The 12,756-nt window shown below is 33.7% G+C and overlaps 1 annotated feature.

The window, feature by feature from the left end:
- Positions 8,369–9,048: an enhancer, noted in NCBI's record as "OCT4-NANOG hESC enhancer chr5:24382088-24382767 (GRCh37/hg19 assembly coordinates)". NCBI's record gives its function as "activates a minimal SCP1, AML or CMV promoter by ChIP-STARR-seq in primed H9 embryonic stem cells {active_cell/tissue: H9 hESC(primed)}" and the evidence as "EXISTENCE:reporter gene assay evidence [ECO:0000049][PMID:30033119]".

A 12,756-nucleotide genomic window follows, 5' to 3' on the forward strand; every position in this document is an offset into this window, starting at 1 on the left:
ATATGAGAAAATAGATTGAGGCAATTATTTTAAATACACTAGAAACAAATACATTTATAGACTGATGAGATCAGTCTTTAAAGGTATCTATATTACTTTGGTAACAAACATGACATGAAATATAAATTTTATATACATTCTATAGATGCATTTTAGCAAATTAATTCCATATACAAAAAATATATAAAATACTATACACTAGCAAAAATTTTAAAGAAGGCTCTATATTTAAATACATGCAGCTAATTCTATTATATCTCAACCAGATGTAACAACCTATAGTCATGTCAAATGGTAACAATAACTATACTTTAGAAACATAAGAGATATGTATGATATGATAAGAATGTGGAATATAAAATTATCTTTCCTTTGATAATAAAAATATTTACATAAAAGACTATTATATAATATTTAACTGTGAAATAATGTTTTGAAAGGCTTTTTGTTTTTTCTTAAGAGTTATCTCACATTATTTTTAATATAGATAAAATATTTGACTACTGAATGGTGACTTTCATAGATGATTAATATCAATTCTTTTTGGTAAATTAAAGAACAATATTTTAGTAAACTTATCTCTAATAGATAATAAAATTATAACATTTTAATAAGCACTGTATATGATTTATGCATAATTAAAGGACAGAGATGTTAATAAAAATTATTAGTGAAAATACTTGTACAAAGACTAAAAGATATTGAGAAGGGAATTTGATGATGTTTCAATAAAAATAGAACTTTAAATTACTTTAAATTGCCAGCTGCCAGACTGAGCCTGGGGTTTTTATGGGCTTAGATTGGGGAAATGCATGCTGACTGGTGTATGGGGGGGCTGTTTTCTTTGATTACATATCAAAAGGGGATATGTAATCATTTAGTTTTTATATTTTTTGCATTAAATTAGAATTCAAACACAAATAAACCTAACATTTGACTGTAATTCTACTCAGGTGCTCTAAAAGTGAAAACATATAAAAACATGTCTTATGCACATAGAAGATTGATTCTAAAGTATATGCAGAAAGCTGAAACTGGACCCCTTCCTTACACCTTATACAAAAATTAACGAAAGATGGATTAAAGACTTAAACGTAAGACCTAAAACCATAAAAACCCTAGAAGAAAACCTAGGCAATACCATTCAGGACAAAAGCATGGACAAAGACTTCATGACTAAAACACCAAAAGCAATGGCAACAAAAGCCAAAACTGACAAATAGGATCTAATTAAACTAAAGAGCCTCTACACAGCAAAAGAAGACTATCAGAGTGAACAGGCAAACTACAGAATGGGAGAAAATTTTTGCAATTTATCCATCTGACAAAGGGCTAATATCCAGAATCCACAAAGAACTTAAACAAATTACCAGAAAAAATAAACAACCCCATTAAAAAGTGGACAAAAGATATGAATAGACACTTCTCAAAAGAAGATATTTATGCCGCTAACAAACATGAAAAAATGCTCATCATCACTGGTCATTAGAGAAATGCAAATCAAAACCACAGTGAGATACCATCTCACGCTGGTTAGAATGGCCATCAGTAAGAAGTCAGGAAACAACAGATGCTGGAGAATAGGTGGAGAAATAGGAATGCTTCTACACTGTTGATGGGAGTGTAAATTAGTTCAACCATTGTGGAAGACAGTGTGGTGATTCCTCAAGGATCTAGAACCAGAAATACCATTTGACCCAGGAATCCCATTACTGGATATATACCCAAAGGATTATAAATCATTCTACTATAAAGACACATGCACACGTATGTTTACTGCAGCACTGTTCACAATAGCAAAGACTTGGAACCAACCCAAATGTCCATCAATGATAGAATGGATAAAGAAAATGTGGCACATATACACCATGTAATACCATGCAGTCATAAAAAAGGATGAGTTCATGTCCCTTGCAGGGACATGGATGAAGCTGGAAACCATCATTATCAGCAAACTAACACAAGAACAGAAAACCAAACACTGTATGTTCTCACTCACAGTTGGGAGTTGAACAATAAGAACACATGGACACAGGGAGGGGAATATCACACACCGGGACCTGTTGGGGGTTGGGGGGCCTAGGGGAAGGATAACATTAGGAGAAATACCTAATGTAGATGATGGGTTGATGGGTGCAGCAAACCATCATGGCACGTGTATACCCATGTAACAAACCTGCATGTTCTGCACATGTATCCTAGATCTTAAGGTAAAATTTTTTTTAAAAAGTATATAAAGGAAAACAAAAAAAGGCAAATTATGCACAAAAAATAAGTTTGGGCTGAAATATCTATCAGGTATTATGCTCACTACCTGGGTGACGGAATCACCTGTATTCCAGGCCTCAGCATCATGCAATATACCCATGTTAACAAATCTGCACTTGTAGCCTCTGAATCTGAAATGTAAGTTGAAATTACTTTTAAAAATTACATACAGCTTCAAATATTTATATCTCATTATAAGAGTCATTGGAAATAACTTCTATTTAGTGTAACTATTGAAGTTTATTTTTATCATTTTTAAGTAATTAATTACTGTCAGTAATCAGCAACAGCTAAACAAAGGTAACTCTCACCCAGATGAACCCCATTTCCTGTGAAAAATAGTATACTGTAACTCAGCAGGGTGTTACTTCAGATCAACTGAATTTTAAAGAAACATATAATTTACTCTCCTTATTGCTGTACCATTTGAAAAAATTTACTCCATAAGTTCATAGTATGTAAAAGAAGGAAGGCCGCTTAACTACTCACTTGGCAGAGCTTAGGAGTCATTAATTGCTAAAGTCCTGATGTGAAATTTATGTTTCCTTTTAAGAACCTCAACTCAGTTCAAACACGTCATTTTTATTAGTATTTGGCAAAGTCTTAAAATGTTTACTTTATGTAGCCAGAAGAGATCATTTTTAATAGCTGGTTCAATAGTCAGAGACAACTGTGTCTACTCACCTCCATGTTCCATATTAAATGTATAACCTAATAATTTGATCAACCAATCATGAACTTACAGAACCCTAGGTTTTAACATTGACAAATGCCATTTTTGCTTGAGAACATTCACTTACCTTCACCGTAGATTATGTTGCTGAACAATGGGAATTTATTTGTTTGTCAAGAATTATTTATTAAAGGGTGTCCTTGGTTTCTCCTGAAACTAGAGAGAAAATTTGGCAGGCAGGCCGATGGCGGATGAGCCCAGTTGAATATAAAAAGAGGAAGGAGCGACGTTCAGAATGTTTACTGTGTAGTTACTGTTGCTATAGCAGAATTTGGGGTGTTTGTGGACCTTTTAAGAAGCATTCAGAATGCCTTATAGGACTGTGCACTTGAAGCAGAGGAGGAATGCATTATTTACCACTGGCTTCCTTTCTCAGTTGAGAGATGTACCCATCGGCATGTCAGCCGAAAAAAAGACAGAAGAGAAAAATATGTCCTAATTTAATGAATTTATCAGAAGTAGGCAAAGATGATTATAACCCCGATACACACTTACAGCAAGTCACAGATACACCTGAAGAGGGGAGGGTGAGAGCAAGCTTCTTTTAGCAAAAAGGAGAGGTTCACACAAACTGCTTGGAAACAGAGTTTGTTGGTTTCAGAGACTCAAAGCCAGAGCTTGCATTAATTTATTGGTGGAGATGCCCTTACTGAGTCAGTATTCTTATGAGAGCATCTTATCTGAATTGCTGCAGTCCGAATGAATGTTTAGTGATAAACTCGGTCACAGAGATATGTGTACACATGCAAAATGTAGGTCACGAGAAGCATTAAATGCATAAAAAACATAAAGTGATTTCTTGTGGAGTTATTTTAGAAAGTCCTTGAGATAGTTTTATCTCAGACATGCAAGCATGGGCCTTCCTCCTTTGTGCTTTCCCGGCTCAAATTAGAGTCTTACAGACATGACTCGATCCTGGTATCTTCTACCATCCAGAGGATGCTTTTCTGGGTTGAGTGAGTTCTTCCAGCTTTGAGGAAGACCCCAGGGCAGACAGCAGAAAGGCAGGGCATTTGCATCATAACTATAGGTGGAATCAAAGGGGCCAGGGAACATAAAAGCTGGGCTCCAGAGCTGCATACGATATAATACAAGGAAACCACTGCATGTCATGCACAGTTCTAGGGCCTTGGAATTAACTGGACAACTGAATGCTAGAGGTTAAAAGTGAAGAGACGTAATGTACAGTCACTAACCTTAACGAGTTGATAAGCAAGTGCATGATTAAGCAGAGATAGCCCTCCATTTGAAGAAATCAAAAGCAGTGCAAGACACTTTCGTCTTGGTATAAAATGAGTGACTTAGACAAATGTAGAAGTACATTTATATAAAGGTTCATCCCCTAACCAGTTGAAACCTCTTTGTAAGTAGGGGGCATTTAAAGTTTTGTATTGTAACTGTTAAGCACAAGGCATGTACTCATGGGATAAATACATTTTCCAAATGAAAGAAACAGAGAAAAACAAGGAAGACAAAAGAACTAGTAAAGTTTAAATCAGTTCAGAAAAAGACACTTAGGAAAGAGCTTTACAACACATAAGAAGTTGGAAAGTTATCTATGCAATAATATTCAGGTCTGTTTGCTGGACTGATTTATTATTGTCTAACATAACATTTTAGAAAAATATGTTGAATGTATTAATAAAAGGAAGGGAAACAATTTTAACTACCTTCAAAATGCAAATCAAAAATAGTTTATTTCATTACATTTGAAAGGAAATTATAATGAATTAAACTAAATTAATTACATAACTAGATTTTTATTTGATTACTACAAACAATATTTATTCATGAAAAAGTGGTTTCATACTGTTACAACCAGAAGTGAGTTTATTCTTGAAATATATTCTAGAAATAATTTATTTGGCAGATGATCCAGAGACTTTTTAGCTTATAGAGAACTAGATTTCCAAAATCAAAGTCTGTGTCAAGTGCTTTATTATTTCCAAGGAGTAAGCATTTAAAAATACCTATAAAGATCAAAGGCTATAAAAGTAAAAGCTTACAGAATCCAACCAAATGACGTAAACATGTGATTTGGGCCAGGTGCAAAACAATAGCACATGATCGACCCTTTAGTTAATTGAAAAATGCATAGCCTTCTAAGAGCAGCCATTCAAATTACACTAAAGAAAGCGTTATGGTGGTCAAAAACAAAACCACCACAACAACAAACAAACAAAAATAATTTTGTGTACCTGAGCATCAGTTATCTCCTAAGTATACTATGTAGAAAACAATCACACAACCTCAGTGATGTATTTCAATAAACAGTTACTTAACTTATACATCTAGGAGATTCCCCTGATTTCAGTTGGGCTCACTCACGTGTCTTTGGTTGGCTCATATCTATGGATTATCTGTCTTTCAAATGACCTAAGACAGTCTTGCCTGGCAAGACCAGAGAAATACAGTTTGAAAAGTTTATGATTTGTCATCCTCCAGCAGGTGAGCTTGGGCATTGACATGAGAATCACCTCATTCAAGAGATGCAAAAGAGAAAGTGCAGACACCACAAGCACTTTTTCAAGCCTCTGCATGCATCACATATACAGTCCTCCTTCAGTATCCACGGGTGTTTGTTCCGGGCCCCCCACAGATTCCAAAATTTGTGGATGCTCAAGTCTCTGATATAAAATGCCATAGTATTTGGTATAACCTACACACTTTAAATCATCTCTAGATTACTTATAATGCCTAATACTAATAGTTGTTGTACTGTATTTTTGTTTGTATTTTTTTACTGCTATGCTTTTTTTTCTTTTTTATTTCAGAATATTTTCCATCTTAGTTGAATCCTCAGCTTCAGAACCCAAGGTATGGAGGGTCAACCTGCCTAAGCAGGTTGTCATATAACTGAGAAGTTACATAACAAAGCAGGCATAAAGAAGAGGGATGAATAGAGTTGGCCATCATTTCACTCAATCTAATATACCTTGCATGTTATCACTAATAAAAGATTATCCATCTTTGAACTCTGCTATAGGCTAGAATTGTATAAACTGAAGAATCATATATATCCTTGATTAATGATCTGTAATCACTTGAAAAGTTATTAGAACCACATAAGCTGTTGCTGTTAAAATTTTAATGATCATAAAGACATGATTTATAATGGAATCTGGTTCTTTTATTTATAAACTATATATAATTACTCAGACCCTATTCTTTCTTTATCTCCAGTATTTGCATATGCAGTTTTAATGATATATCTTAGATCTTGACAAATAAGTCTTTTTGTCTTAGGGCTAGAAGAAGATAAGAGAGTTAGTGAAATTTATTCACTTTTATACATAAAAGGTCAAGAAATTCCTGGTTCTATTGCTGATAAAAACAAACATACAAACAAAAACAAATTGTAAAATTCATTTGACATATCTCATCTAAACTTAACTTTTAGGGCACCCACACGTGTGTCTATGTAAGACTTGTCTCGCTGCCCTACCATGTGTGAATAATAATTGTATGTTTATACTTGTGTCTTCCTAACACACAGGAGTGTTAATTAGATTTTCAGTTAGTGTTTGCTGAACTGCATTAGCTAAATTGTGATGGCGTAAGACAATTAGTGATTCTCTGGTGATTCATATATATTTTTTAAAGACTTAGCTAAAGAAAGAGGACAGCATGTCTAACCCCTTCCTTTTAATTTGCCATGATTCAGTCTGACAATTTTTTTCCAGATTTTATCAAAGACAATGGTGAAAAAATGAGAAGATAACATGAGATTAAAATATAAGTTAAGATATAAGAAGTTATTTTTGGCGTTCCAACATAAAAGGTAGTTGCCTAGGGCTAGGTTGAAGGCGTTCAAATGTATGTTCTTCCCTGTGCTCTGGCCAATGTTCTTCTGTGTTGAGTGTGTACATGTAATTTTGTTTTTTAACAAAAGTTTTTTTGTTTTGTTTTGTTTTTGTTTTTTTTCCCGAGAAGAAGTCTTGCTCTGTCTCCCAGACTGGAGTGCAATGGTACAATATCGGCTCATAGTTACCTATGCTTCCTAGGTCCAAATGATTCTCCTGTCTCAACCTCCCGAGTAGCTGGGATTACAGGTGCCCGCCACCATGCCTGGCTAATTTTTTGTATTTTTAGTAGAGACGGGGTTTCAACATTTTGCCCAGGCTGGTCTTGAACTCCTGACCTCGTGATCTTCCCGCCTTGGTCTCCCAAAGTGCTGGGATTACAGGCGTGAGCCATCCTGCCGGCCTTTTGTTTTTGAAATGGAGTCTCACTTTGTCACTGAGGCTAGAGTGTAGTGGTGCTATCCCGGCTCACTGCGACCTCCACCTCCTGGGTTCAAACGATTCTCCTGCCTCAGCCTCCTGAGTAGCTGGGACTACAAGCGCCTGCCACCACGCCCAGCTAATTTTTGTATTTTTAGTAGCTTCTGCCCAAAGGTCCTGTATAAATCTGATGGCGGATGATTCTACTCTCAGGCTGGTTAAACCTTCTCACAAGCCATATTCAACCCAAAGGAAGAACTTATTCCTTTTTATCCAGAATGACTACTAAGAATAAATTATTTTCATAAACTTAATATTCTGGTTACTCTAATACTGCCATCTCTAATAAACTTGTAAGATAAATTTGAAATATCTAAATGTGATAAATGTGTAATATATCCAATGTATCATTTACCATTCTCAAGGCATTCGGTTCTTAAAATTATTTAAGATCACTATAAAAGCTATATGTTAATAAATTATAATAAACTAAGCAGAGCCTATATCACTATTGTCATATATGTTGTTCTATGCCTGTCGAGATGAACATCTATTATTCTATTTTAAATGAATATATTATCACAAGTGTAGGGAGTTTAAACATTAAGATATAAAACCTGACTTAAATCCACAAAGGAAAGAAAACATCATAAATGCTTTTTGCACTTTGAATTGCATGCTTAAGAATAATATTCGTCTTAATAATTCAGTATATAAAAGTGTTTAGTAGATGTAAAAATATGGTTAGATTTTAAGGAGTTTTTTTTTTTAATTGCATGTGTTGTCCCAGGTACAACAAGCACCAATCTAATCACCATCTCTGCAGAAGAAAAAAAACTCACTGAAAATAAAGAATACATACCAGCAAGATAGAGGTTAAGGAAATGGCTAAAGGTTTTTTCCCTTTAAGAGCCTTGACCTCTTACTGTTGTTAATAATGATCAACCATTGTGCATTTAACCTTCAGCACATTGCTCCATTACTAAAAGCATTTATACAAAAGTTATTATCAATTTATTCAATTATATATTCACTTTCCTGGTTATATTTATATTATTGTAAACTGTAGAGCAAATAGTTTTAAAATATTGTGAAGACACTGTAGAATTTAAACAAATCACTAAATAATCCACAAGTATGACATCACTGGCTAGATATGCACAGGTCGAGTTCCTGACTTCTTGGTGGAATTTTTCTAGCTCAAGCACTCGGGAGTCATCAGCCAATCCCTTTCCAAATGACGTGGCTAAACTTAAAGACGTTTTCAAGGACCTGTCTGCTTCCTTGACCTAATTGCATTTACAGTCTTCAGACTGTTTTGCTTTTGTGATGGCTACAAGTAACACTGAAATACTGAGGATGGTTAAGCTCTTCCGAGGAAAGGTATCTCAGTGGCATCCATTCAAATGCATTGTTTCACAGGGGATGTATTTTGAGAAAGGGCAGATGGTAGCATTTCCCAGAACATCTGTTACCCATCATTCTTTCACAGAGCAACCCAGATACTGTTGACAACTTCTATGTAAATCATGCTGACAATTTGTTCAATGTCTTTCCTGCTGAGACTGAGGTTGTCCTGGTCATACCATTTATCAGATATAGGAGATACTGCCATCCCACAAGAACAGTTCCAACTGTGTTTTGGCCAGAGAACAATAGCAGCCATTAAATCAAAGGAACAATTTATCTACCTTGAAGTTATCTCCGTATTACCTCAAGGATTTCCTACCTCACCTTTCCTAGTCTTATCTAAAGGTGTACATTAGATATTAAATGCTCTGCAAAATAGAAAAATGTTAAATTACTTCTTGATACTTGTCCTTAGCTTCTTTTATTATTATTTGTCAGAGGTAATCATTTCTTTGACCTTGCATGTTAAAATTACTTTCATCTCAGGGAAATGACATATACGAGTGAAATTATGCATGCATTGCTATATAAATGTCAGAATTTTAGTTTGCAAATGCCTGCTATAAAATATTCACAGTATTGAAAGTTGATTTACAACCCATTTCAGCCTGTAATCTATCGTATTCTAATTTCATACCTTATATCAGAGTGCATTTTTCACAATGTTTAAAAGAAAACAAAAAGAAATCATTTCTTTAATTAACCTACCTATGAAAATGATAAACTAAAACCATTGGCATTTATTACATGATTACAGTTTTTCTAAGCAAACCCAATTAGACCATAATACAGGTTATAGAGATGAAAAGTGTATAATTAAATTTTAAAATACCTAAGCTTATGAAGGCATTATACATAAGCAGATCTACCTGTTAAAAAATAATGAAGATAAAAACATAAAAAAATTTATTAACTAACTTTAAGTACAAGTTTTGCACATCAAATATCCATTTAATTTGCAAAGTAAATAAATTTTACTTTGGGATGTTGGTTAATCTGCATTTGATACTAATTGATTATGTCTCAATCATTTTTGTCACACAATAACAGGTTAACAGCACTGGGAAAAATATGTTAGACTATAAAATATTGTAGATATGCTCTCTATCTTTTAAAATTATACATATATATCCTTAGTATAATAGATGTACACACACAATTGCAACATAGAAACAGTAACTGTTAGATTGACCTGCCACCATAATAAAGTGGATTCTGAACATTAATAATAATGTTTACACTATAAAAGAATGTACACATAATGTAATGTGGATTCTTTTTCAGACCACCAACCTATTACATTAAAATTGCTTTGGACTAATAGCAATGTTAAATCTCAATTTTATATAAGATGGGGCTCCTTGCCCCATAATTCAGAGATAGCTTTTCTGTGTAAAATGTAATAAAAGTTTGATCAACTTACTGGGTGGGGGATTTTTCTTTTTCTTTTTCTTTTTTCTTTTTTTTTTTTTTGAGACAGGGTCTTGCTCTGTCACCCAGGCTAAAGTTTGCAGTGCCACAATCACACCCCACTGCAGCCTTGGCCTCCTGGGTGCAAGTGATCCTCTCACCTCTGCCTCTTGAGTAGCTGGGACTATAGGTTCTCACCCCATCATTCAGCTAATTTTAAATTTTTTTTGTGGAGACAGGGTCTCACTATGTTGCCCAGGCTGGTCTAGAACTCCCGGGCTCAAGTAATCTTCCTACCTCAAACTCCCAAAGTGCTGGGATTACAGGCATAAGCCACTGCACTGGCCCGAGAAGTTTTTTAAAAAAGCTTTTGGCAATGAGTTGTAGGAGGAAAAGATAGATTCATGTGTAATTTATGTTTAGTATGTACTTGAATTTTGTTATACGTATATAAAACATCTGGAAGTAATATATATAATATACTGTCTGTCACTAAACATAAATGGTGATGTGATAAGCAAAATGAAATTAAGCAAATCAGTACTTTCTATATTATTTAATAATATACTTGTAACAATATTAATTTTCTAACAAAATATCCCAAATATTATGGTACCTAAACAAAATATGTATGAAGCAACCTTTTATGTGTGCTTATAATTTAGGTCCATTATTTAAGTTAATTGGATCATAGAGTTATAAAGAGCCAAGTCTGGGATATTCTTTTCATACTAGTCAAAGTCAATTAGCTTAAAAACAATAAAATCTCTATGCATTTATATATATATATATATATATACGTATATATATATATATGTATATATATATATACGTATATATATATACACACACATATACATATACACACACACACACTTTTTACACTATTGGATCAAATCAAATAGGTACAACAGAAACTAAGGGGTAGAAAATGTTTTGAGTAGCCAGATTTTTCCACATTAATCTATATTAAATATTTCATAAATTGTTTCTGTAGAAGAAAATCACATTATGCAAAATAACTTTGACCTGAAACTCTTAACCTCAGGTTTATTTTTTTAAGACTGTGGCTCTTCCTGTTAAAATGTAAATCTCATCAGAGTCTTCTAGCTATTGGCAGAATTCATGATGTGGCAAATTAGGTGACCATACATTCTAGCTTGCCTCAGACATCTCAGTAATGGTTGTTTTCCTGCACAATTAATAATACTGCCATTCATTCTAAAAGGTACAGGTTTGGATGATAAATTATATGGCCACACTACTTACTAACCACCCAAGTGTATCATGGTGCTGAAACAAATCTCAGTATCAATTCATACCTGAGAATATTTTTAAACAGCTTGGTTTCTGATTTATGAATTACTCATATAGAATGTTTGGGTCAATTTCCCCACAAAGATTTCAATGACTTGTAGTGTATCTTTAAAAGGAATTACAGCAAAGTCTACTTAATATTGACGTTAATATTGTGATTCTAAAAGAAAATGATAGTTGCCTCCTCACATACTGGCAAACAGAAAGTCTTACTATTTTTAGGACCATAGAAAGCATTACATAAAGGGAAGTCTGTTTGCATTTGTAGCTGACAACTTGACTAGTCTCAAATAAAGAGAAAAAGACAATAGATGTGAAAGTGTCTAAGTGTCAGGTGTTCTTTGCTTCCTGATGTGTCAAAAGCTTTCCCTAGTAAAAATGCAAGATTCCCGGAGGCTGATAAGGCTACTAATAGTTCCAAGTTGACCTACAAATGTGTTCTGCTATGAATAGCAAATCGCCTCCTTAAAATTTGGTCAACTGAACTAACTTTGTGATAGGTATATATGAGGGCAATCTATCTCATTTCTTTAGAAATAGAAATTAAACCTTTTAATTGATTATATATGGTTGAGATCCTTTGAAAAGCATCCATGTCAATAATTAACTCAACTAGCTATAAAAAGAGTATAGTCATCATAATGAGTAACTTCTCTCTGTCCCAATATTTAATCCATGGACATTAAGAGCTATATGAAATTCAAGTACATCACTTGTATTTCAAATGCGCTTCCTTTGAGTCAAATTAAAGTGTGTTTTGAAATATGAAAAAATGTGTCTAGAGACAACATGTCTCTACCTGACAGGGTTAGGGAGTAGATTAAATTGGTTTTACCATATCATACATTGACTCCAGTCCAGGTAGTCAGAGTTTATGACTATGATCAAATGCTGGAATTCAACTTTTCTAGGGGTCATTAGTTTCAACATGATGAGCAAAATACACATCATCTCTTCTTTGTGCTTCAAACCCAGTATATTATTAAATGACATTAATAAATAATAAAAATATAAGATATAAATAAAATATACATAAATGTATGTGCAAAAAAAAGAAGAGGAAATTTGGTTGATTAGAAACTGTGAGAAATGCTTCAAAGTTTAAATACAAAATGGGACAAAATAAATACCAAAATTATAGTTTGAGAGGCATGCAAAAGTGTGTCATAGAGTACTAACACAAAATGTTGCACCATGCCAGGCAATATGAGAGCTTTGACTTATGTAAGTGATAACATTTCATCAATGGTGACAGGCTAAATTAATCCAAATACTTAAAAAACAAACATCTATATGTTTTCACTTAATTGGGTTCCTTGGACCTAAAGGTATGATGAAAATTAACTTTTTCTTGGTATATTGTAGAAAGAGTTCTAAATATTAAATTTCTGATTT

The sequence above is a fragment of the Homo sapiens genome, chromosome 5, assembly GCF_000001405.40.
Source record: "Homo sapiens chromosome 5, GRCh38.p14 Primary Assembly".
Taxonomy (NCBI): domain Eukaryota; kingdom Metazoa; phylum Chordata; class Mammalia; order Primates; family Hominidae; genus Homo; species Homo sapiens.